General features: G+C 48.4%; 1 protein-coding gene across 6 annotated transcripts in view, besides 3 other annotated features; it reads right to left on the bottom strand.

Moving 5' to 3' along the window:
• Positions 1-27,089, bottom strand: part of COL26A1 (collagen type XXVI alpha 1 chain) — a 196,637-nt gene that overhangs the window by 100,489 nt on the left and 69,059 nt on the right. For 4 of the 6 annotated variants that reach the window (XM_017011744.2, NM_001278563.3, XM_017011743.2 and 1 more), the window contains exon 3: positions 10,749-10,852. Coding sequence is in view for 4 of the 6 variants with exons in the window: in NM_001278563.3 (NP_001265492.1) it covers positions 10,749-10,852 (104 nt within the window). In the remaining 2 variants the exon portion in view is untranslated. The remainder of the gene's footprint in view (positions 1-10,748; positions 10,853-27,089) is intronic. The other 2 variants (NM_133457.5, XM_047419882.1) reach the window with 1 other exon arrangement.
• Positions 19,071-20,030: an enhancer, noted in NCBI's record as "H3K27ac hESC enhancer chr7:101081787-101082746 (GRCh37/hg19 assembly coordinates)". NCBI's record gives its function as "activates a minimal SCP1, AML or CMV promoter by ChIP-STARR-seq in naive H9 embryonic stem cells {active_cell/tissue: H9 hESC(naive)}" and the evidence as "EXISTENCE:reporter gene assay evidence [ECO:0000049][PMID:30033119]".
• Positions 20,905-21,546: an enhancer, noted in NCBI's record as "H3K27ac-H3K4me1 hESC enhancer chr7:101080271-101080912 (GRCh37/hg19 assembly coordinates)". NCBI's record gives its function as "activates a minimal SCP1, AML or CMV promoter by ChIP-STARR-seq in naive H9 embryonic stem cells {active_cell/tissue: H9 hESC(naive)}" and the evidence as "EXISTENCE:reporter gene assay evidence [ECO:0000049][PMID:30033119]".
• Positions 21,547-22,190: an enhancer, noted in NCBI's record as "H3K27ac-H3K4me1 hESC enhancer chr7:101079627-101080270 (GRCh37/hg19 assembly coordinates)". NCBI's record gives its function as "activates a minimal SCP1, AML or CMV promoter by ChIP-STARR-seq in naive H9 embryonic stem cells {active_cell/tissue: H9 hESC(naive)}" and the evidence as "EXISTENCE:reporter gene assay evidence [ECO:0000049][PMID:30033119]".

The following is a 27,089-nucleotide window of genomic DNA, read 5'->3' as shown; positions in this document are numbered from 1 at the left end:
CTCCCAAGTAGCTGGGATTACAGGCATGCACCACCACGCCCGGCTAGTTTTTTTGGATTTTTAGTAGAGACGAGGTTTCACCATGTTGGCCAGGCTGGTCTCAAACTCCTGACCTCAGGTGATCCTCCTGCCTCAACCTCTCAAAGTGCTGGAATTACAGGCGTGAGCCACTGTGCCCGGCCTAAAGTACCATTTCACAGGTGAGGAATACAGACACATTGACATGATATTGGTAAAGGTGATGAAGTCCACTATGCTGCTAGCCAGATTGAACTAACTGGTAGGACATCTACTGGTGAAATGTGACTTAAGGAATTATCCTTAAAGTATAAATCTAATGAGGCCAAGTGCCATGGCTAACCCTGTAATCCCAGCACTTCAGAAGGCCGAGCCAGGCAGATTGCTTGAGCTCAGGAGTTTAAGACCAGCCTGGCCAACATGGTGAAAGCCCATCTCTACTAAAAATACAAAATTTGCCAGGTGTGCTGGTGGGTGCCTGTAGTCCCAGCTACTTGGGAGGCTGAGGCAGGAGAATCGCTTGAACCCAGGAGGCGGAGGTTGCAATGAGCCGAGATCGTGCCATTGCTCTCCTGCTTGGGCAACAGGGTGAGACTCCATTTCAAAAAAAAAAAAAAAAAAAAGTTAAGCTATACCACAACCTAGCAAAATGATGGTTATTCATGCAATGGAATAATATCCAGCAACAAATACAAGTAAACTACACATGTATATGTAAAACATGGAAGAATCTCAAAAATGCAAGTGAAACAAACCATACACAAAAGATTATATGCTGTATGGTTCCATTTATATAAAGTTCAAGAATAGTCAAAATTGATCTATGATGATAGAAGTCAGAACAGTGCTTTCTAGTGAAACTGCCTTTGCAAAGATTATGACAGTGAGTGAAATCTGAAATAGCTGACTCCATCTTGCTTCTAACCTCACACGCTGGGGGTCTTTGCTCACTCCTGGGTAGAGGCCAAGCTGAACATGGAAGGAATTTAGCTTATAGTTTAACTTTGAAGCAAGGATGATAACACTCTCTCCCTAAAACGGATTCCTTCCTTGTTTAGGGGAGGAAACTGCCTTTGAAAGACAATGAAAGGACATGAGATTAGAATTATAGGTGCCTGAATTCTGCTAAAATGTAGACATGGTTTCTATAATCCTTTATGACACAGGAGACATGCGGCCAGAGGTCATAACATTGATGACTTCCCCAGTTGCTCCTATAGATAACTATGGTAGAACCTAAGATTGGTCTTTTGAGATATTTTTCAGACTTTTGCATGCTGGCAACTGACTGACCCCACCCGGACTCATGACTCATCACTCAACCAGTCCTGTAGCCTTGCACCCAGTGTTGGACTCAGTGCCCAAGGACCGTTTTCCACACCCCTATGATGGCATCCCCAAACAGTAAGCAGCACCCATTCCCTAGTCCCCTGCCCATTAAACTATCCTTGAAAAACCCTAACCTTCAAGCCTTCAAGGAAACTGATTTGAGTGATAACTCCAGTTCTCCCACGTGGCCGGCATCATGTTAATTAAAATACTTCTTTACTGTAATACCACGGTCTCAGCGAACTGGTTTTGTCTGGGCGGCAGGCAGGAAGAACCCACTGAGCAATTACACTGGGGTAGAGACTTTCTGGGAGCTGATGGAAATGAGTATGCATTTATCAAAACTCATCAAATTGTACATTTAACATCTGTGGGCCTGGCACAGTGGCTTACACCTAAAATCCCAGCACTTCGGGAGGCCGAGGCAGGAGGATAGATTGAAACCAGGAGTTTGAGACCAGCCTGGTCAACATAATAAGACTTGTTTTGTAAACAAGTCTTTACAAAATATATATATAATTTTTTGAGATGGAGTTTTGCTCTTGTTGCCGAGGTGGAGTGCAATGGCGTGATCTCGGCTCACCATAACCTCTGCCTCCCAAGTTCAAGCGATTCCCCTGCCTCAGCCTCCCGAGTAGCTGGGATTAGAGGCATGTGCCACCACGACCGGCTAATTTTGTATTTTTAGTAGAGACGAGGTTTCTCCATGTTGGTCAGGCTGGTCTCGAACTCCCGACCTCAGGTGATCCACCTCCCAAAGTGCTGGGATTACAGGCGTGAGACACCGCGCCCAGACAGAATTTTTTTTTTTAATTAGCTCAGCATGTTGCACACCTGTAGTCCCAGCTCCTTGGGAGGCTGAGGTAGGAGGATTGCTTGAGCCTGGGAGGTCAAGGTTGCAGTGAGCCATGATCACACCACTGCACCCCAGCCTGGGCAACAGAATGAAACCCTATCTCAAAAAAAGAGAAAATCTGTGCATTTAAGTATGTGTAAATTTTATCTCCATTAAAAAAAAAATATATATATATATATACTTACAGTAATGTTATTTAAAAATTAGAAACAATTTAAATATCTTACATTATTTAATAAAGTGTGTGTATACTCAAGTTCTACAACCACTCACAATGATATTATAGAAGGCTATCTATTGCCAAAGACAGATGTTCATGATAATTTATGTGAGAAGGAAACTTACCAGGCCAGGTGCAGTGGCTCGCGCCTGTAATCCCAGAATTTTGGGAGGCCGAGGCAGGCGGATCACCTGAGGTCAGGAGTTCGAGACCAGCCTGGCCAACATGGTAAAACCTCGTCTCTACTAAAAATACAAAACATATTAGCCAGGCCTGGTGGCGTGCACCTGCAGTCCCAGCTACTTGGGAGGCTGAGGCAGGAGAATGGTTTGAACCCAGGAGGCGGAGGTTGCAGTGAGCTGAGATCACGCCACTGCACTACAGCTTGGGTGACAGAGCTAGGCTCCATCTCAAAAAAAATTAAAAATAATAAAAATAATAAATTAGCTGGGGGTGGTGGTGCACACCTGTAATCCCAGCTACCTGGGAGGCTGAGGCAAGAGAATCGCTTGAGCCTGGGAGGCGGAGGTTGCAGTGAGCTGAGATTGCACCATTGCACTCCAGCCTGGGCTACAAGGTGAAACTCAGTCTCAAAAAAAAAAAAAAAAAGAAAAGAAAAGAAACTTACCAAACAGCATGTACAGTGCAATTAACATGCAAGCACAGAAAAAGATCTGGAGGCTTCTCACCCAAGTGAGAGGTGTAATACTACGTGTTTCTATGTTTTCTGCACTAAACATGTAGTTACTTTTGTAATAAGAAAAAACTAGGCTGCCCATGGTGGCTCATGCCTGTAATCCCAGCACTTTGGGAGGTCTAGGCAGGTGGATTGCTTGAGCCCAGGAGTTGGAGACCAGCCTGGGCAACATGGTGAAACCCCGTCTCTACAAAGATACACAAAAATTAGCCAGGTGTGGTGGTTCATGCCCGTAGTCCCAGCTACTTGGGAGGCTGAGGTGGGAGGATCACTTGGGCCTGGGAGGCGGAGGTTGCAGTGAGTGGAGATGGCACCACTGCACTCCAGCCTGGGTGACAGAGCAGAACTCTATCTCAAAAAAAAAAAAAAAAAAAGATAAAGAAAAAATTTTGTTTTAGATATTTAGTTAGACATAGATCCATATATACAATTGATGCTGGCTCACAGAATTTATGCTCTATGAAATCACCATTTACACTACCTTAGTGAATACTGAACCATTGCTTATACGGGAAATACAGGGTTAGGTCCTTTGAGCCTCTGATTTCAGGATCATCAACCCATTAATACATAACCTTGTCTTACCTGTGTTTCTGTTTAAAGGCACCTTTTAACATATTTACTGTAGATTCATTAACATTGAACTCACAGCCAACAGCACTGTAACTCATGCCTGAACGAGGCTTATCTAACACACATATTTTCTCCGCAAGGAACATCACAGCTTCTTTGCGCTTAGGGATACCAGAGAGCACTTCAGCGCTATGCCTGGGGGACATTCTAAACAACAAACCACCCCCAAAAAGGCAGAAAGATGCAAAAACTATGGTACTAAACAGACCTTGAAAAGGACACTTGGCCGGGTGCGGTGGCTCACCCCTGTAATCCCAGCACTTTGGGAGGCCGAGGTGGGTGGATCATCTGAGGTCAGGAGTTCGAGACCAACCTGACCAACATAGTGAAACCCTGTCTCTACTAAAAATACAAAAATTAGCTGGGTGTGGTGGCGGGCACCTGTAATCCCAGCTACTTGGAAGGCTGAGGCAGGAGAATCACTTGAACCTGGGAGGTTGCAGTGAGCCGAGATCATGCCATTGCACTCCAGTCTGAGCAGTAGAGCGAGACTCCATAACAAAAAAAAAAAAAAGAAAGAAAAGAAAAGGAAAGGAAAAAAAGAAAAGAACAGGACACTTCTTTGCAGTTTGAGAGGGAAACAGGGAGCCAGGGTGTCACCTGGTTTGACCTCAGTAGGAAACATGCATGTCTGGTGACTCAAAGTTTTTGCTACTGTGCCCCATATCCATGAATGACCGCTGCAAGTTATTGATTTAGGGGTTACCCATCAATTTTATCAAGGAGGTGAATTCACAAACACGAAATGTGCAATTCATTAAGATGGATCATGTATAGACATATGTAGAAAGGAAAGTATTTCCAAACCTTAGACCTGCACTCCTGGGGTGTCTAGGGAGGGAAACCCCACTGAACCACAGCAAAACCCACTGAACTGCATCTCATGGACCTGCTTGTTTCCAGAGAGGCAGGAATGAGACGCAAAAGGGAATTAATGGTGCGGGACTCACCACAACCATCTTCGGAATGTGCCCAAGACATGGGCATGGCCTTGATTTAGCCTGCTGTCTTTATTGGTTTATATTCGGGAATGTAAAATCTTTACAAGGGTTTTCAGGAGCCGATCCCAAACTCAGCCCAGGCTCAGACTCCCAGGAATTCTTCAGCTGCCAACTCCCCACTCCTGAGATGTCCAGGACCCTCAGGCACACAGCTAGAAGAGTCACTTAACCCTAAAACTTTCAGAAGGGGACACGCATCCTGAGCAAGGTGCTTGAAGCCCAGAAGGCTTCTCCACCAGGGAGGGGCTGGCAGAGGTCTGAGGCTGAGAGCATCTTGAGAGGTGCTGGAACTCATCATAATCAGTCCAAGAACTCCAGATGTTTCTGGTGAGTACAGTCACATGCCACATAACGACATTTCAGTCAACGACAGACTGCATATACGAGTGGTCTCATAAAATTTCTTTTCCTTTTTGAGACAGGGTCTCGCTCTGTCAACCAGGCTGGAGTGCAGTGGCACTATCTTAGCTCACTGCAACCTCTTCCTCCCAGGTTCAAGTGATTCTCCTGCCTCAGCCTCCTGAGTAGCTGGGGCTACGGGCACGTGCCACCACGCCCGGCTAGTTTTTCTATTTTTAGTAGAGACGGGGTTTTGCCATGTTGGCCAAGCTGGTCTCGAACTCCTGACCTCAAGTGATCCACTGCCTTGGGCTCCCAAAGTGCTGGGATTACAAACGTGAGCCACCACGTCTGCTCCCCCACCCCCATTAAAATTATAATTCTGTATTTTAGACCGGGCACAGTGGCTCACGCCTGTAATCCCAACACTTTGGGAGGCGGGGGCGGGCAGATCACTTGAGGTCAGCTTGGCCAACATGGTGAGACTCCGTCTCTACTAAAAATACAATAATTAGCCAGGCATGGTGGCAGATGCCTGTAACCCCAGGTACTTGGGAGGCTAAGACAGGAGAATCCGTTGAACCCAGGAGGCGGAGGTTGCAGTGAGCAGAGATCACACCACTGCACTTCAGCCTGGCTGACAGACAGACTCCATCTCAAAAAAAAAAATTAATAAATAATAATAATAATATATTTGTACTGTACCTTTTCTATGTGTAGATATGTTGATATACACAAATACTTACCATTATATTCCTAATGCCTCCAGAATTCAGCATAGTCACATGCTATACAGGTTTGTAGCCCAGAGCAATAGGCTAGACCATCTAGCCTAGGTGTGTAATAGGCTAGATCATCTAGGTTTCTGTAAGTACATCCTTTGGTGTTCCCATAAAGACAAATCTTCCAATGATGCATTTCTCAGAACATAGCCACATCATTAAGCCACGCATGACTGTATATTGATCATATCAATGTGGTTTATCGGATAAGAAATTTCTTCTTGAAGGGAAGTGCCAAGCCCTTGAGGGTGGACACCTTTGGAACAATTCACCAGCTCACAGTCACCCCCCTTCACTTCTGCCTCCTCTATTGAGAAAGGTGGGTCCACAGCCCCACATGAACCTACTTGGTGGTGAGGACCTCCCAGTCAGCAGGGACTGTCCTCCCACGGTCCTGCCACCTGCTGCCATGGGCTACTGTGTTTCATCCACTCAGTCTGCAAGAAGAGCTCTGCAAAATGTGGAAATAGGGCAAAAAGCTGAGGGACTAACCTTCTAGAGTCAGGCTACAGCACTATCTCATGAGCCTGCCCACGTGCCGTATGACACCCCAGGAGAATGTCACTTTGAGTTACCGCTCACTATGCATTGCAGCTCAGATTCTGCCAAGTTGGATGTTAACTCATACAAAACTGGTAAAAAGCAAATGATTTTGGCTGTGCGCGGTGGCTCACGCCTGCAATTCCAGCACTTTGGGACGCCGATGGGTGCAGATCACCTGAGGCCGGGAGTTCGAGACCAGCCTGGCCAAAATGGTGAAACCCCATCTCTACTAAAAATACAAAAAACATAGCTGGGTGTGGTGGTGGATGCCCGTAATCCCTGCTACTCAGAAGGCTGAGGTGGGACAATCGCTTGAACCCAGGAGGCTGATGTTGCAGTGAGTGGAGACTGTGCCACTGCACTCCAGCCTGGGCAACAGAGCGAGACTCCGTCAAAAAAAAAAAAAAAAAGATGCAAATGATTTCTTTTCAGTAGAGACAATAACCACAAAGCTTTTGTCTTTACTACCCCATAGGCTCAACCTTAGTGGTCTTAATTTCAGGTTCGTTTTTATATACATATATAAATTATATACTTTACGTATAATATATAATTATGTTACCAGTTCAGCATCCCAAATCAGAAAATCAGAAATCCAAAATGTTCTACTTGGCATTTCCTTTGAGCATCATGTCAGGGCTCAGAAAGTTTCAGATTTTAGAACATTTTGGATTTTGGACTAGGGATACTTAAATTGTATATAATTTATATATAATATAAATTATAATTTAAATATAACATTATATATAATTTATATAATACATACATTGTTTAAATAGAAATATAATATAAATTATAATACATAATTCACATTATAATACATAATTTACATCATATATAAATATATCTTTCATATTGTATATATTATATACAATGTATAAATTGTCTACAGTAACATATTTTATATATATTATTGAGATTATATTAATTATTGAGATATATATTACATATATATCTCAATGACTATATTATATATTTCAATTATATATTATATATTTCAACAATATATAATACGTATCATATATTTCAATAATATATATTATATGTTACTGGAATATATATTAATTATTATTAATAATTATTCAATAATATATATCAACAATTATTCAATATTATATATTATTCAATATATGAATATTTATTTGATAATATTTATTATCAATAATTAATATCTATAATTATTGATAATATATATTACTGGAATATATAAATTATTAATAACGCATTCAATATCCATATAGAATTGTATATCATTCTACATTCCATATTCATATAGACTATGGAATTCATATTCATATAGACTATGGAATTCATATTCATATAGACTATGGAATTCATATTCATATAGACTATGGAATTCATATTCATATAGAATATGGAATATAAATAATTCAATAATTCTATATTATTGAATATAGAATATATATTATTAATATATCACAATTACTATATATTATATATTTCAATAATAATATGTAATACACATATTATATATATACACACACAAAGAATTAATCTTACCCTAAAGGAGGTCTGGCCTTTGCACTTGGCTCGTGGGAGGTATTTGGAAGCCCTTGGAATGTCCAGGTTGGTCACAGTATCTGCCTACCTGGGGACCTTCGACCATGCCACACAGTCTATGCTAACGCAGGCCACATTGGATAGTTTGTGCTAACAATGTCGTTGATGAGGACATCCTTGCACCACCTGGTACCAGCTCATCTTCCAGAGGGGCTAGAATCTGAGTCAGCCATGCAGGCTGGCCATGGTCCATGTACCTAAGCCACAGTAAAATCTCTGGCTCAGATGAGCTTCCCCGGGTGGCAATATTTTGTATATACTGACACATGTCATTGCTGGGAAAGTACAGCTGTCCACAACTCCACTGGGAGGCGACAACTAGAGGTTCCATACATGAAACTCTCCTGTGCCCGGCCTGCCCCATGTGTCTCTTCCCTAGCTCATTTTAATCTGTATCTTTTTTTTTTTTTTTTGAGACTGAGTCTCACTCTGTCATCCAGGCTGGAGTACAGAGGCACAATCTAGGCTCATTGCAATCTGTGCCTCCTGGGTTCAAGCGATTCTTCTGCCTCAGCCTCCCAAGTAGCTGGGATTACAGGCGCCCACCACTATGCCCGGCTAATTTTTGGGTTTTTAGTAGAGTTGGGGTTTGATCATGTTGGTCAGGCTGGTCTCGAACTCCTGACCTCAAGTGATCCTCCCTCCTCAGCCTCCCAAAGTGCTGGGATTACAGGCATGAGCCACCACGCCCATCCTAATCTGTATCTTTTTGCTGTAATAAACCATGACCATGAGCATAATAGTTTTTAATACATTCTCTGAGTTCTTCTAGCAAGGTGTCAAACCTAAGGGTGGTCTTGGGGACCCCCAATCTACAAATACATGTGTGTGTGTATACACACATACATCAGTGATCCTCCTACCTCAGCCTCCTGAGTACCTGGGACTACAGGCACATGCCACCTCACCTGGCTAATTTTTGTATATTTTAGTAGAGACAGGGTTTCACCATGTTGCCCAGGCTGGTCTCAAACTCCTGGGCTCAAGCGATCCTCCGGCTTCAGCCTCCTGAAATGCTGGGATTACAGTCATAAGCCACCATTCCCGGCTAACATTGCTGATTTTATTGATCACTGAAACAGGCTCAGGTACTTACTTAAGGGTAAACTAATCACTTCCCTAGCAACTCTCGCCTCCTCGGCCCCTGGCAGGATCTAGATGGCAGGCCTGCTCCATCCCGTTGGGGGGACCAGATGGCTGTGTCCACAGCCGTGGCGCTGACCAGAATGGCAGGTCCAAGTCCTGGCATTGAAGGGCTCAGGCCTCCATGAGGGACCTGTGAGCTGTGGTCGTTCAACACCATAGCATTATGCCAGGGCCAGCCCACTGCTCAGAAACCTGGCATCCCCTCACCCCTTCACCTTGGAGGTCCTTCCTGCTCCTCTCCAAAGAAGGGTCCAAGTCAGCCCTGGAACCTCCAACAAGGATAGCCCAGCCTCCCCTGCCAGCATCAGGCACCTCATCAACCAGGACCAGAGGCACCTGTCGGACTCCCTGGCATCCCAGCCTTTTTCCTTCAGCTCTGCTGTGGGCCAGAGGCCCCCTGAAGCAATTGTCAGAGTCTCTATTTCTGTCAATTGCGTTATTCTTTGTAACCCAAAGAGCTCTTTAGACAGTTTACACTCAAAGCATATAGATCCTGCTATCAAATCAGTAAGTAACAAGATGACAGAGAAGAGAAGAATTTTGTCAGAAAGCGAAGGTGGGAGACAGCTACTGTTTCCAAATACAAAACTGACCCCTCCAGCCGGGAGAGGTGGTTCACACCTGTAATCCCAGCACTTTGGGAGGCTAAGGTGGGAGGATCGCTTGATCCAAGGAGTTCGAGACAGCCTGAGCAACAATGCAAGACCCGTCTCTAAAAATCATACAAAAAAATAGCTAGGTATGGTGGTGCACACCTACAGTCCCAACTGCACAGGAGGGTGAAGTGGGAGGATCAATTGAGCCCAGGAGTTCGAGGCTGCAGTGAGCCATGATCATGTCACTCCACTCTAGCCTGGGCAACAGAGTGAGACCTTGTCTCAAAAAAAAAAAAGAAAAAGAAGAAAAATCTGACCGCTGAGCCTCAGCCTCCAGACCCATCCAGCCATGCTGGGGAACAAGGTGGGCTGCAAACTTGTTCATTAGGCAGGACTCAATTTCCCTGGCCAGCAGTGAAGGGGGATTTGCTCTGTCTGCCACTGCTGGCCCACCTAAGTGCTGTTATGTGACCCTCTCAGGCTCCAGAGCCAGGCTGAGCCCAGGCCCCCGGGCTAAACACCAACAGGGCAGAAAGGCAGAAAGCAGCTGGGTGAACGTCTATCTGCAGCTACCGGTCAGCTTCTCTGTCTCAGTCTACAAAATACGTGGCCTCAAGGCTGGTGGGACCTCATCCGCATTTGCTCAGAGCCCAGATATCCAACTCTGCCTGCCCCAGGGGTTCTGGGTGCATCGGAGCCAAAAGTGGAAGAAACCGGCTAGAAATCAAATCCCTTCCCCTGGCACCAGTGCTGTTTTTGGCTTCTGTATTCCACTACCCAACCAGTGCAAACTAGGACCTGCCTCGGTGCCCACGGGCAGGGCGGGCAGCTTCATCCTGGTTTGGCCAGGCCGATACAGAACATTTGCTTCAGAGGCGATTGGGAAAAGGAAAGGATTTCAAGCTACGGAGGAAAGGAAAGCTGCTTGCAGGAGGAGGCCAGAGAAGGGAGAAACTCCAGCCTGGCCCACGCCTGGCCCCCTGCAGCCCAAGTGCCTGCCAACTTACCCTCATCACAGTTGCTCCCGGTGAAGCCAGGGCAGCATCTCCACTCCAGCACCGTCACCGTGCGGTAGGACACTCTGTAGGTGGGTCTGATCAGAGTCCTGTAACTAACACACAGACAGCGTCAGGGGGGCATGAGCTCCCACCCACCCACCTCCAGACCCCACTGCTGCAAAGATGGGCCAGGCTGTTTTGCCCAGCCAGGGCTCCGGGAGGCCCCCATGGCGTGGAAACCACTGCCGGGGTCCGTGTTCACTGGCTGTGCAAATGCCTTTGCAAAAATCATAACGGAGGAAGTTATGACAACGAAAGAGATCAGACCTAACTGACTCCATCTTGCTTCTAACTTTAGGCTGTCCTCCTTCATTCCTGGGAGTAGGCCGAACTAATCTTGGGAAGAAATTTAGTTTATGGTTTGACTCTGAAACAAAATTGATAATATCTCTTTCCCAAAAAGACCCCCTTCTTACCTGGGTACCAGTCTGCCTTTGTAGGACTAATAAATTAGCTACAGGATTAGAAATTATGGTTTACGGGGTCATGCAGCCTATGGCTGCAAGAGTCTGAACCTCCCCAAATTGCTCCTGGAGATAACATCGCCATTATAAAACCTAAGATCAGTGCTTGAGATATTTCGCAGACCCTGTCCTCGATGGATCAGCTGATACCACCCAGACCTGTAATCTGGCTTGAGCAGTGCTATGATCCCATCCAGAAACAGAAGACAGCAAGAAAACCTCACTTCGACCCCCTACGATTCCATCTCCAACCTGACCAGTCACCACTCCCCAACTTCCGAGCCTCTACCCACCAAATTGTCTTTAAAAACTCCATCCTGAATGCTCAGGAGACTGATTTGAGTGATAAAAACCTCCAGTCTCCCATACAGCCGGCTCTGTGTAAATTACTCTTTCTCTCTCTCTCTCTTTTTTTTTTTTTTAGTTGAGACAGAGTCTCACTCTGTTGCCCAGGCTGTAGTGCAGTGGCGCGATCTGGGCTCACTGCAACCTCTGCCTCCCAGGTTCAAGCGATTCTCCTGCCTCAGCCTCCGGAGTAGCTGAGATTATAGGTGTGTGCCACCAGGCCCAGCTAATTTTTGTATTTTTGGTAGAGACAGGGTTTCACCATGTTTGTGAGGCTGCTCTCGAACTCCTGGCCTCAAGTGATCCACCCACCTCAGCCTTCCAAAGTGCTGCGATTACAGGAGCAAGCCATGGCACCCGGCCATCTTTCTCTATTGCAATTCCCCTGTCTTGATAAATCAGCTGTGTCTAAGCAGCAGGCAAGGTGAACCCCTTGGGCAGTGACAGCTGTGTGACCCTGCACAAGTCGCCATCCCTCTCTGTATCAGCTGTGATCTAAACGTGGATGGAACTGGAGGCTGTTATCTTACATGAACCACCCAGGCACAGAAAGACAAATACCATATGTTCTCTAAGAGGGAGGTAAACAATGTGTACACAATGGAGACATGGAAAGGGATGGGTAGGTAATGAATGCAATGTATGTGATAGGGTTTGGATATTTGTCCAAACTCCAGATCTCAGGTTGAAATGTAATTCCCAGCATTAGGTGAAGCCTGGTAGGAGGTGATTAGATCAGGGGACAGACCTCTCATGAATGGTCTAGCACCATCCCCTTGGTGATAAGTGGGTTCTGGCTCTCAGTTCACGTGACATCTGGTTATTTAAAATGGTGTGGCGCCTCCCCCATCACTGTCTTTTTTTTTTTTTTTTTTTTTTTTGAGACGGAGTCTTGCTCTGTCATCAGGCTGGAATTCAGTGGCGCGATCTCGGCTCACTGCAACCTCCGCCTCCCAGATTCAAGCGATTCTCCTGCCTCAGCCTCCCAAGTAGCTGGGATTACAGGCACATGCCACCACTCTCAGCTAATTTTTGTACTTTTAGTAGAGACAGGGTTTCACCTTGTTGGCCAGGATGCTCTTGATCTCCTGACCTCGTGATCCGCCCACCTCGGCCTCCCAAAGCGCTGCGATTACAGACATGGGCCACCGCGCCTGGTGCCCCCTCACTCTCTTTTTTTTTTTTTTTTTTTTTTTGAGACGGAGTCTCGCTCTGTCGCCCAGGCTGGAGTGCAGTGGCGGGATCTCGGCTCACTGCAAGCTCCGCCTCCCGGGTTCACGCCATTCTCCTGCCTCAGCCTCCCAAGCAGCTGGGACTACAGGCGCCCGCCACCACGCCCGGCCAATTTTTTTGTATTTTTAGCAGAGACGGGGTTTCACCGTTTTAGCCGGGATGGTCTCGATCTCCTGACCTCGTGATCCGCCCGCCTCGGCCTCCCAAAGTGCTGGGATTACAGGCGTGAGCCACCGCGCCCGGCCCCCTCACTCTCTTAATCCCAATTTGCCTTCAGCCGTGAATGAAAGTTTCCAGAGACCTCCCCAGAAGCCAAGGAGATGCCGGCACCATGCTTGTAAACCTGCAGAACTGTGAGCCAAATTAAACTTTTCTTTATAAATTACCCAGTCTCCGGTATTTCTTTATAGCAACACAAGAACAGTCTAATACAGTACATTATGTGGGTGATGGATTTCCTAAGAGCCCTGACTTCACCACTGTGCAATATATCGGTTGCACTTGTAACCCATAAATTTAAACAAACAAAAAATAATAGTAAACATAAAGTACCTGGCCAGGCATGGTGGCTCACGCCTGTAATCCCAGCACTTTGGGAGGCCGAGGTGGGTGAATCATCTGAGGTCAGGAGTTCGAGACCAGCCTGGCCAACATGGTGAAACCCTGTCTCTACTAAAAATACAAAAATTAGCCAGGCATGATGGCAGGCACCTGTAGTCCCAGCTACTCAGGAGGCTGAGGCAGAATAGCTTGAACCTGGGAGGTGGAGGTTGCAGTGAGCCGAGATCATGCCACTGCACTCCAGCCTGTGTGAAAGAGTGAGACTCCATCTCAAAAAAAATAAACAAACAAAATAAAATAAAATAAAAAATAAAGTCCCCTCTAGCTCTGCCATTGTACAACTCTCCAAGTGTGGCCACCTGTGAGGGGAAAGTGTCCTGAACACTGAACACTGACCAAGATGATAAAGAAAGAAAAGGGGCCAGGCACGGTGGCTCACGCGTGTAATTCCAGCACTTTGGGAGGCCGAGGTGGGCGGATCACCTGAGGTCGGGAGTTCAAGACCAGCCTGCCCAACATGGAGAAACCCCATCTCTACTAAAAATACAAAAATTAGCTGGGTGTGGTGGCGCATGCCTGCAATCCCAGCTACTCGGGAGGTTGACGCAGGAGAATCATTTGAACCCAGGAGGCGGAGTTGCGGTGAGTGGAGATCACGCCACTGCACTCCAGACTGGGCAACAAGAGTGAAACTCTGTCTCAAAAAAAAAAAAAAAGAAGAAAGGAAGGAAGGAAAGGAAGGAAGAAAGAAATTAGCAGGACCTGCAAAATTTTCAACTATCATCTACTCTGACCTTTTTCCCAATTATAATTTCTTTTGGTTGATTCACCAACAATAAACCCAAAGTGGGTTTATTGAACACCCACTTTGTGCTATATTGCGGTCATAGATTTATAAAACTGTGTCATCATCCTGAGAAGAGCGAGACACTTCAATGAAGAAAACTTGGCATACACGGCCAGGAGTAGGGGTTACACCTGTAGTCCTAGCACTTTGGGAGGCCGAGGCAGGAGGATTGCTTGAAGTCAGAAGTTCGAGACCAGCCTGGGCAATATACCAAGATGCTGTCTCTACAAAAAATAAAAATAAAAAAATTAGCCCGGCATAGTTGTGCACACCTGTAGTCCCAGCTACTTGGGAGGCTGAGGTGGGAGGGTCACTGGAGCCCAGGAGTTTTGAGGCTACAGTGAGCATGATCGAACCACTGCACTTAGCCTGGGCAACAGAGCAAGACCCTGTCTCTGAAAAAAAAAAAAAAAAGAAAAGAAAAAGGAAAAGAAAAAACTTGGAATACAGTAGTGGGACTCTTGCAGGAATTAAAAAAAAAAATTCTTGCAAAATGCTGTGAATCCCATCGTAAAGTTTCACACTCCCACAGTTTCGAAATTTTTCTTACACATAAGTTGGATGCTTTTTTGTCACACTCCAAGAATCGCGAATATAAAATGCATGACCAAATTTCATAAGGGAGACACATTCAGCTTTTATTATTCACTTTACGTGCATTGTCATAACTGCTGCTTGATCAAGTTTGCACAATGTCCCCCTGAAGACAAAACTACATAACTTCACAAAATTTAAATCTGCTGACATCGAGCAACTTAATCGGTGAATGAAACAATCATGAATTAATTGGTAGCAGCAGGCGCGACGTTTGGAGACGCACTGTTGACAGGAAAACACACGAGTGGAGAACTGGATTTCAGAAGTACAGCTCTGAATCTGAAAAATCCTGTTACGCTCATTTCTTTTTTAAAAAAGCAAAAACCTGCACTCGTGTTTCATAAACATTCCAGCAAACCAGTTTCCCCCTGGAGATCTGGGGGTAGCGTGGTTGTGTGCAGCTGGGACAGGAGGTAGGAGATGACCAGGAGAGGTGCCCACAGCTGTGAGCTGGAGAGCAAAGCCCCCAGCTTTTGGGAGCAACTGGGCAATCCAGTGCAGGATGGGGGGTTGGAAAGAGGTGGCAGAGCCTTAGTTCCAAGGTCACCCCTCCTTACAGCAAGTGACTCTGGTATGCGATGATGAGTACAAATACACGATTTTCACAATAAACACACACTCACATACATGCACACACATTCACATACCCATGTGAGGACACACGTGCCCTCACACACTCTCACACCTTCACACGCTTGCACAAACTTACTTGCAAGCTCTCACAAACTAACACATACGCACACCCTCACACAGTCACACACTCATTTGCTCTCTCACACTCGTGTGCACACTCGTGCTTGCACACTCGCACAAACACACTCGTGCACACTTCCACACACGCACTCACACAAACACGTGCTCAGCACCCTCAGACTCACTCATGCACACTCACAGTCACACACTTGTACGCAATTATGTACACACACATGCACCTATTCACACGCTTGGATAAACACACACTCAGCCTCACACTAACACACTAAACACGCTCACATACCTGAGGACTAACCTCTGACCGTTTTCTTCTCTTGCCCAGATTCCTATCTAAGGAGCCTGGGGAGTCACGCCTTTCAAACCACAAAGCCTCATCACACAGGTTCTATTTTAACCCTATATGATGTGGCTGGCTTTCCAACCAGGCTCTAGCATAACATCGCATGGCAGATAAGGAAGGAAATCAAAATATTTCAACCCCAAATATGTTTCTATGCCATATCTTTTGTTCTGTTTTTAGACAGAGTCTGCTGCAGCAGGGGAATTCCTTGAACCCGGGAGGCGGAGGTTGCAGTGAGCCGAGATCGTGCCACTGCACTCCAATCTGGGTGACAGAGCAAGACTCTGTCTCAAAAAAAAAAAAAAAGAAAGACCTAGAAAAACAGAAAGGGCTCACAACCCTCTTGCTGCCGCAGATCTGCCAGCCGAAAGCAGGCCCAGCTTGGACAGAGGAGAGCTTTTGTTTAGATTAAAAATGGCAGTTTTAAAATTAATTCCTGAAATGGTCTTCCGACTACGAGAGACCAGAAAAACTACAGAGTCCACCCAGGGCCCGGGGCAGGCGCAAGGGCCAAGCTGCTGTTGTTTGCACCCTGCTGAGCACAGCTGATGCCAAAAAATCAGGTCCCTCCCTTAACCTCTGCACGATGGGATCAATGGAGCCCTGGGCTCAGGAGTGCAAGCCTGGCATTTGGGCTCTGTCCCTAATTCACTATACAACATTGCACAGGTACCTAAACCTCTCTGAGCCTGTTTCCTGGTCTGTATGATGAGGATACCAGGGAGACCAGGATGCCTGGTGTAAGGCTGTGAGTGCAGGAGGGGTGCATGGATGCTGGGTTTGCAAAATACAGACCTGACCTCATTCCTCCCAACCCACACCCTTCGGCCGTCCCCACTGTCATCAGGAGAGAGTCCGGGCTGCTGAGCCAAATGTGCTGGCCCTCCTCCACCTCACACAGACACCTCTGGCCCTCACCCACCAGGCGGGAGCCCTCCAGATGCACCAGACACTCTCACTTCAATCCACACTTGGAATGATGAAGATGGTCATGAGAACAATAAAAGTAGGTATGATAGGCCGGGCACGGTGGCTCACGCCTGTAATCCCAACACTTTGGGAGGCTGAGGCAGGTGGATCATTTGAGGCCAGGAGTTCGAGACCAGCCTGGCCAACATGGTGAAACCCCATCTCTACTAAAAACACACACACAAAAAATAGCCGGGCATGGTGGTGGGCGCCTGTAATCCCAGCTACTCAGGAGGCTGAGGCACAAGAATCGCTTAAACCTGGGAGACACAGATAGAAGTGAGCTGAGATTGCACCACTGCACTCCAGTCTGGGTGACAGAGGGAGACTCTGTCTTAAAAAATATATAAATATAATAGTAGCTTCAATTGCAGACTCACAGTGTACTGAGTGGTTTACATAAGCTGACTGAGAACAACAGAGGCCATTATTCCCAGTTTACAGACAAGGAAACTGAGGCACAAAGAGGTTAAGCAACTTTGTCAAGGTGGTGGAACTGGGATCTGAACCCAGGCAGAATTGGTTCCAGAGCCCAGTAATACTAATTTGTGTTCGTTCAGTACAGGCAAAGGTTTTCCCTCTCATCTACACACAGGGACTGATCTCGGGCCCCTGATTCAGAAACTGAGCTCATCCCTCTGGAGATGCTCTTTTCTTTTTTCTTTTTCTTTCTTTCTTTTTTTTTTTTTTTGAGACGGAGTCTCTCTCTGTCGCCAGGCTGGAGTGCAGTGGCGCAATCGTGGCTCACTGCAACTTCTGTGTCCCGGGTTCAAGCAATTCTCCTGCCTCAGCCTCCCAAGTAGCTGCAATTACAGGAGTAATTTTGTATTTTTAACCTAATTTTAGCTAATTTTGGTATTTTTTGTAGAGACAGGGTTTCACCATGTCGGCCAGGCTGGCCTCGAACTCCTGACCTCAGGTGATCTGCCTGTCTTGGCCTCCCAAAGTGCTGGGATTACAGGCATGAGCCACCGCTCCTGGCCACAGTCTTTCTTGGCCCCTCATTCTGAATTCCATGGGCTTGGCCCATGCCACTCTGGAACCTGATGGCTGCCAAGTCCAGGCGTGGGGCACACCAGTAGGTGGCACTGTGTCACCATCCCAACCGGCCAAGACTCAGCTTGGTAGCCCCCCTGAGTCTCACCTGAATGCCCAAGACAGGTTCCACATTTGTGGCCCATTTCCCCAGTCTTGGAAAAAAACCCGAGGGAGGCTGGCCTCCTGTCCCCATGAAGAATTGCCAGCCCCTGCCGCTAGGGTCCAGTTGGGCAAACTTTCTTTTTTTGTTGTTTTTTTGTTTTGAGACAGAGTCTCGCTCTGTTGCCCCGGCTGGAGTGTAGTGACGCGATCTCAGCTCCCTGCAGCCTTCACCTCCCGGGTTCAAGCGATTCTCCTGCCTCAGCCTCCTGAGTAGCTGGGATTACAGGCGCACACCACCACACCTGGCTAATTTTTGTATTTTCAGTAGAAATGGGGTTTCACCATGTTGGCCAGGTTGGTCTTGAACTCCTGACCTCAGGTGATCTGCCCACTTTGACCTCCCAAAGTGCTGGGATTACAGGCGTGAGCCACTGCCCCTGGCCTAGGCAAACTTTCTAAAATGCAGATCCAGTTTAGGGACTGCCCTCCCTCAAAAACAGGGTGTACATATTTTATTTAACCTCTGTCAGCCTTAAGGCCGCACTCAGTTGAGGACACCAGGCTCCAAGAGGGAACTCATCTTCCTCAAGGCTCCCTGCAGAGTCCCCAGCCACATGGTAGTGTCAACTTTGCTGCTTGGTGGGAACATTAAGGGCCAATAACAAGGTCCCGGCCAGGTGCCACACAGCTCTGGAGCGGGGTGTTGTCCCTCCTACCCCTAAGACTTTAACAACTCTTAGATTTTGGAGGCAAAAACAAGATTGGCCTCTGATGCCTGGATTCTCCCCAAGGTGGAGCAGCCCCATCCATCCATGACTTCCAGTGGTCACCAAGTCCACTCTATGGCCCACGGGCTCTGCCTGCTTTGATCTGGTGTCCTCCCTGGCCTCGCAGGTGACTTTGTTTTCCAGCCACACTGGTCTTCTCACAAATCTCCAGCACACCAGTTTCCTTACCTCTTTTTTTTTTTTTTCAGACGGAGTCTCACCCTGTCGCCCAGGCTGGAGTGCAGTGGCACAATCTCGGCTCACTGCAACCTCCGCCTCCTGGGTTCAAGTGATTCTCCTGCCTGAGCCTCTCGAGTAGCTGGGATTACAGGTGCGCACCACCACTCCTGGCTAATTTTTGTATTTTTAGTAGAGACGGGGTTTCACCCTATTGCCCTCTGAGGGGCTGGTCTTTCTTGTCTCTCTCTCTTTCTGTCTCTCTCTAGGTCACCTCCTCCAGGAAGCCTTTCTAAGGTCTCCCACCACATCTGCCCAGCACCCAGGAGGTACATATCACTATCAATCGACTGACTAGGGATCTGGCTCTCCTGGGTCTGTTGGCACCCCTTCAGGATGCAGAGCTGAGGCTTTTCCTGGGTATTACATTCAGCCTGGTGTGGGTCCAAACAAACCCCAAGGTGGGGTGGTCCTCCTAGAGTCTGTCTGCCAAAACCACCAGACTCCAGGAATGAGCTGAAGGTGGGCGAGCCCCTCACTGGTCCCTGGAAAATGTTCTACATGCCCATTTTAAGGATGGCAAAATCAGCTCAGGAAAGAAAGGGGGCTGGGCGCTGTGGCTCACGCCTGTAATCCCAGCAATTTGGGAGGCCCAGACGGGTGGATCGTCTTGGAGTTCGAGACCAGCCTGACAAACATGGTGAAACCCCATCTCTACTAAAAATCTCTACTAAAAATACAAAAATTAGCCAGGCGTGGTTGTGCACGCCTGTGATCCCAGCTACTTGGGAGGCTGAGGCAGGAGAATTGCTTGAACCCGAGAGGCGGAAGTTACAGTGAGCTGAGATCACACCACTGCACTCCAGCCTGGACCGCAAGATTGAGACTGTCTAAAAAAAATACAAAAAGAAAAGAAAGGGGAACTTAAGGGGGCTGTAGCCACTGAATGCCTGCGTACTCGGCCCACTCACACCTGAGAGTATTACTGTCCCATTTTATGGATGAAAACACTGAGTCCACCAGAGACTGTGCGGCAGGTAGGTGCAGAGCTGGACTTGGTCCACACCAACAGAAAGTGGAGGAGCCAGCCCTGAACCTTCACCCCACCCTTGACTGCATATACCCCATCTTTCCACATATACCCCATCTGCCTCCCTCCCTCTCTGGTTCTCCCAAGTGATGCTTTTTTGTTGTTTGTTTTTACTGTTGTTTATTTTTTTTTGAGACGGAGTCTCGCTCTGTTGCCCAGGCTGGAGTGCAATGGCACAATCTCGGCTCACTGCAGCCTCCACCTTCCAGGTTTAAGTGATTCTCCTGCCTCAGTCTCCCGAGTAGCTAGGATTACAGGCATGCACCACCACGCCTGGCTAATTTTGTATTTTTAGTAGATATGCGGTTTCTCCATGTTGGTTAGCCTGGTCTCCAACTCCCGACCTCAGGTGATCCGCCCGCCTCGGCTTCCCAGACTGTTAGGATTACAGGCATGAGCCACCTCGCCCAGCTCCAAGTGACGTTTTTAAAGCAGAAATGTCCTTGAACCTCTCCTAGCTTTTCTTCAATCTCAGGACAAGGCCAGGCACAGTGGCTCATGCCTGTAATCCCAACACTTCGGGAGGCCAAGGCAGGAGGATCACCTGAAGCCAGGAGTTCAAGACCAACCTGAGCAACATAGCAAGACCCCCATTTCTACCAAAAATTTAAAAATTAGCCAGGCATAGTGGTGCATGCCTGTAGTCCCCACGTACTTGGGAGGCTGAGGTGGGAAGATTGCTTGAGTCCAGGAGTTTTAGACCAACCTGAGAAACATAGCCAGACCCCGTCTCTTAAAAAAAAAAAAAAAATTAGTGGGGTGTAGTGGCACGTGCCTGTAGTTTCAGCTATTTGGGAGGCTAAGGCAGGAGGATCACTTGAGTCCAGGAGTTTGAGCTTGCAGCGAGCTGTGAATGTACCACTGCACTCCAGCCTGGGCAACAGAGTGAGGCCCTGTCTCTTAAAAGAAAAAAAATCTTAGGACAATACCCAAATCCTAAGCCTAACCTTGTGGACTTCTGCCATCTGGCTACTGTATACCTTGGCCATCCCTCCTCCTCTCCTTGGCCACCAGCTCCTCCCCGCCCCCATTCAGAACTCCGCCCGATTCAGAATTCCACCAGCATTCAGAACTCCGCCCCCATTCGGAACTCCGCCCCCCATTCGGAACTCCGCCCCCATTCAGGACTCCACTGGCCCTGTGTGCATGTGCTCTGTCTCTGCCCAAGTCATGCAGCCTCCCAGAGCTCAGTGAAAGTGCTGCCTCCTCTTAGAAGCCCACCCTGACTAGCCCACACTCGGTCCCTTCCACCCTACAGCAAGCTGGGCCTCTTCAATCTACACCCTCAAAGTACCCAGACTTCTCTTCTAAGCACTTATGATTGTACACCCATGTATGTAATTATTTGTCTGACATCCTTCTCCACGGAGCCACTGGCTACACCGCCTGCCTAGCTTAGAGCGAGGCACATCGTCTGCACCCAGTGAAGACTGGTGGAAAGAACGAAGCATTCAACGAACAGGGTGCCTGGATGCAGTCTCAGTCTGGGAGTGGCTCAAGCCTGTAATCCCAGCACTTTGGGAGGTCAAGGCGGGCGGATCACCTGAGGTCAGGAATTCGAGACCAGCCTGGCCAACATGGTGAAACCGTCACAACTGAAAATACAAAAATTAGCCAGGCATGGTTGTGCACACCTGGAATCCCAGCTACTCAGGGGGCTGAGGCAGGAGAATTGCTTGAAATCAGGAGGTGGAGGTTGCAGTGAGCAGAGATTGTGCCACTGCACTCCAGCCTGGGGGACAGAGTGAGACTCTGTCTCAAAAAAAAAAAAAATGAAATGCTGGTGGGGAGGGCTCCCCGGAGAAATGAGGTCCCCATCACTGGAGGTGAGTAAGCAGAGGTCTTGGCTCTCTGGTCTCCAAAGTGGATGTGGCCCAAAGCGTCACGAAGTCCTGCCTCGGGTGCGGGGGGACATTGCACCATCCAGGGATCGCCTGCTCAGAATGACTCTGCCAGCCCAGAACCTTGCCTGGGGGAGCCAGATGCCCCTCCCTCACTGGGCACGTACCCCTTCTCAGCCTCCATGCCTGCCCGCCCCCGACTCCTCCCCTGGCCTCCACTTCCTCACTAGGAACCCCCACGAGGGGAGAAACAGACTGGGAGGTTCCGAGTCAGGCTGGAGACTCAACAGGAAACGAGAGTGGAGGTTTCAGAGCGGGAGGCAGGGGATTATTAATCTCTTGATTAATAGCTGCAGGCCAGCGGGGAGGGGAAAGGGGCTTCCCACTGCATTTCTGAGGCCTCCAGCCTCCCCAGAATCCAAGCTAGACGTTCCCGAGAGCCAGACGGAATGGACAGTGGGCCCAGTGGGCAGGGTCTTCTGCCAAACCTCACCTCACCCTCTGGCCCAGGGTCACAGTCCACCTGGGGGCGGTGCGGGGTGGTGCAGTGGATGCAGCCCAGACAGGCCCCCACTGCTTGGGGTGGGCAGCCATGGTGAGCTTCTCAACCCAAACAGTCCCGCTAAGGAGGAGAGGCAGGGAAGAAAGAGCATGTTTTAAGAAAGCACTTCAATCCAGGACTTTGTGTTGCCTTGCGGGCATCCATCCTGAACAGCAGGCGACCCAACCAGAGGGGGGAGGCTGGCGGGCAGGGGGCCGTCTGGCAGAGGGGAATGAAGGAGGCAGATGAAGCCCCGGAGAGTTCCGGCAAATCCCTCTGCTCAGCACATCTGGAAAAGGTTGGCTCTAATGCCATCAAAGGACTCCGAGGGGCCTGGGAGACAGCCAAGGGCAGGGGAAGCCCGGCCGAAGAAAACTTAACCCCCCGAGTCCCTGGGACTTGTCCTTCTAAGTCTATCAGGCCCCAGAGCCCCAGCCCGTCCCAGCCAGCAGCCAACCGAGGGGTTTAGGAGGGGACTAGGGTGGTGTCAGTGACACCCAATGTCCGTGACGCCCAACGTCCCCACTGCAATGAACAGAGCCCAGCCGGGGCTGTGATCCACTCCAGAGGAAGGTGGGGGGGTTCTATTTCCCAGGATGGGAAACTGAGGCACGGAGGAGGGAAGCATGGTTTGTCTGTCTGCCTTTGAGTCCCCGACCCTGGCAATAAAGTCACCCAGTCCAGTCCAGCCTCCCAGCCAGCAGGGAGGGGGTTGGCCCAGGGTGTCTGCCTCCAGCCAGGGGCTTCCTCCAGGGGCGACTACATGGCCTGAACAGCTGTCTTCTTTTTTTATTGAGATGGAGTCTCGCTGTGGCCCAGGCTGGAGTGCAGTGGCACAATCTCAGCTCACTGCAACCTCTGCCTCCCGGGTTTGAGCACGTCTTCTGTCTCAGCCTCCTGAGTAGCTAGGAGCAACCGCCATCACACCTGGCTAATTTTTGTATTTCTAGTAGAGACAGGGTTTCACTATGTTGGCCAGGCTGGTCTCGAACTCCTGATCTCAGGTGATCTGCCTGCCTCAGCCTCCCAAAGTGCTAGGATTACAGGCGTGAGCCACCACGCCCAACCCTGAACAGAGCTCTTTCCTCCTCACCAGCATCTCTTCCCCTAGTGAAATCTCCTAGTCCCCCAGGTCTCTGCTAAATGTCACTCCCAAGGGAAACCCACGGACCAGGTCTCCCTCCAATGCTGTGAATCTTTGAACATGTCCTCCCCGCATCAACCCTGTACACACGAGGAGAGGATCGTGTTCTCTCTACACACTAGTTCCTGGCCCTTCACTGCTCAGACAACATTGAATGAACAATTGAATAGATGAACACATGATCTGCAAAACCCCAGGTAAGGTCACTGTCCCCAGTACACCCAACCGGAGCAGGCAGGTGCCTGCATTCTTGTCCACATCATGCTGTTGACTGGGCACCCTGCCTCGCACCCTGTCCCCATGCTCACTAGTGAGCGTTAGTTTTGAGTGCCGCCTTCTCTCCTCACCAACACACTCACTCACACACAATACAACATTCTAATATTATTAAAAAAAAAAAAATCAGGCCAGGCGCAGTGGCTCACACCTATAATCTCAGCACTTTGAGAGATAGAGGCGGGAGGATCACTTGCGTTCAGGAGTTCAAGACCAGCCTGGGCAACACAGTGAGACCCTGTCTCTACAAAAAATAAGAACAAAAAGAAATTAACCAAGCGTGGTGGCGTGTGCCTGTAGTCCCAGCTACTCGGGAGGCTGAGATGGGAGGACCACTGGAGACCAGGAGTTGGAGGCTGCAGTGAGCCATGATTGTGCCATTGCACTCCAGCCTGGGCAACAGAGCAAGACCCTGTCTCTACAAAGACAAAGAGAAAGAGAGAGACAGGAGGGAGGGAGGAAGGGAAAAAGAGAGAGAGGTGGGGCGGGAGAGAGAGAGAGAGAGAAGGAAGGAAGGAAGGGGAGAGAAAGAACGAGAGAGAAAGAGAGACAGAGAAAGAAGAAAGAAAGAAAGAAAAAGAAAGAAAGCAGAAAGAAAGAGGGAGGGAGGGAGGGAGGGAGGGAGGGAGGGAGGGAGGGAGGGAGGGAAGGGAAGGGAGTAATCACCAGATGGGAAAATCCACAAAGAAAATGGTTGTATTACAGATACCTATTTTCCTTTCATCTCACAAGAAGATGAACGCATTCATTTAATGAACATTGTTGAGCACCTCAATGTGCTGGTCCATGTAGTAAAGTCCTGGGAATAATGAGATGAGGACAGAGCATCCTGCCTTCAAGGCACTCCTGGGTTGGTGGGAAGAGTCAGCCTGGAAATCACTTTCAGTGTTCTGTGGATCCCCCTGCGTGGGCACCCCTGCTGTGGCCTTCCCTCCTGTTGCTGCTCTGACAGGGCCCCCCTCTTTCTCCGAGCCACCCTGCTCGGCTTCTCCAGCATTGGTCCCTGCAGCTGTCCTTTCCCCGCCTGCCCCAGCCTTTCTCCCCTTTCTGAGGATCATTCTCAGTGGTTTATAAGCATCACTGCCCAAAAACTGCATTTGCCAGGGTCTCCAGTGACCCCAAACCCAATGATTACTCCTCTGCCCTCATCCTATGGGGTGTCTCAGAAGCATCTGGGACAGTGCATTCTCTGTTCCACCCTCCCTCTGGAAACACCTCCCAGGACACCAGGAGGACACCTGCCTCCCCTCCTAAGCCCCACCTGTAAGGCTGGGATGCACAGGACTCTTCTGAGGCCAGTATCCCTTCTCCATTTATTCATCTCCATGGTCACCTCCAGTCCCACAACTTTATTTATTTATTTTTTGATGCAGGGTCTGGCTCTGGTTGCTCAGGCTGGAGTGCAGTGGTATGATCTTGGTTCACTACAACTTCTACCTTATGTGCTCAAGCAATCCTCCCATCTCAGCCTCCCAAGTAACTTGGATTACAGGTGGCCACCACCATGCCCAACTAATTTTTTCTGTTTTTAGTGGAAACGGGGTTTCACTATGTTGCCCAGGCTGGTCTCAAACTTCTGGCCTCAAGCGATCCACCCATCTCAGCCTCCCGAAGTGTTGGGATTACAGGAGTGAGCCACCACGTCCGGTCCAGTGGCATTCTTAACCATAATAAAAGAATGCACTTCTTCACCAGATACAGTGGCTTACGCCTGTAATCCCAGCACTTTGGGAGGCCGAGGCGGGTGGGTCACCTGAGGTCAGGAGTTCGAGACCAGCCTGACCAATATGGCGAAACCCTGTCTCTACTAAAAATACAAAATTAGCCAGGTGTGGTGGCAAATACCTCTAATCCCAGCTACTAGGGAGGCTGAGGTAGGAGAATCGGTTGAACCCAGAAGGCAGAGGTTGCAGTAAGCTGAGATCATGCCATTGCACTCCAGCCTGGGCAACAAGAGTGAAACTCCATCTCAAAAAAACAAACAAAAAAAAAGAATGCACTTTTTACTACCAATGGCATCTTAGGATCTCTGAGATATAATCTGCCTCTCGCTCTGGCTTCTTCCTGGGACTCAGCCTCCTACTTGATACCCTTTCCCTATGGATGGCTTGCAGGCAACTCAACTCAGCCAAAGCACAGCTGCCGGCTCCCACCTCTCATGCCTGACATCCTCCCAGTGTCCCCATCTCAATAAATGGCATGCCCTGCCAGCCAACTGCTCAAGCCAGGAATTTAGGGTAGTCCCTGATTGCTCCCTGCCATTAAGGGACCAGACATTCCTGTCATCTCAGCTTCCAGAATACCTCCTGGATCCACCCACTCCTCTTCATGTCCTCAGATATCCCCCTAGCATGAGCCACCATCATCTCATGCCGGGTCAATGTCCATTCTTCCCACAGCAGCCAGGGATCTCTTCAAAACCTAAATCAGGATGGACATGGTGGCTCATGCCTGTAATCCCAGCACTTTGGGAAGCTGAAGCGGGTGGATCACCTGAGGTCAGGAGTTTGAGACCAGCCTAACCAACATGGAGAAACCCTGTCTCTACTAAAAATACAAAAAATTAGCTGGGCATGGTGGCGGGCATCTGTAATCCCCGCTACTCGGGAAGCTGAGGCAGGAGAATCTCTTGAACCCAGGAGGCAACTGTTACAGTGAGCCAAGATTGCACTCACAGCCTGGGCAACGAGAGCAAAACTTCGTCTCCAAAAAAAAAAAAAAAAATTATAAAATTAGCCAAGCATGGTGGTGTACGCCTGTAGTCTCAGCTACTCGGGAGGCTGAGGCAGGAGGATTGCTTGAGCTCAGGAGGTCAAGGCTGCAGTGAGAGATGATCACACCATTGCACCCCAGCCTGGGCAACAAAACGAGACCCCCATCTCTAAAACAAACACAAAATTATCACCAGGTAGAGTTTATTCCAGGATTGCAACATTGCTTCAACATTTGAGAGTTACTCAATGTAGTCATCATATTAACAGCCTAACGAAGAAAAATCACATGATCATATCAATCAATGCAAAGAAGGCATTTGACAAAATTCAACACCCATAATTAAAAAAAAAACTCTCAGAAAAATAGTAAGAGGAAAACTTCCTTAATTTGATAAAAAGCATCTTTGAAAACCTTACAGCCGGGCATGGTGGCTCACCTCTGTTAATCCCAACACTTTGGGAGGCCAAAGCAGGAAGCTCCCTAAGCTCAGGGGTTCAAGACCAGCCTACGCAACATGGTGAAACCCCAT

This window comes from Homo sapiens, chromosome 7, assembly GCF_000001405.40.
Source record: "Homo sapiens chromosome 7, GRCh38.p14 Primary Assembly".
NCBI classification, from domain to species: Eukaryota; Metazoa; Chordata; class Mammalia; order Primates; family Hominidae; genus Homo; species Homo sapiens.
Note: the sequence above shows the minus strand (reverse complement) of the source record. Positions and strands in the feature narration are given on the sequence as shown.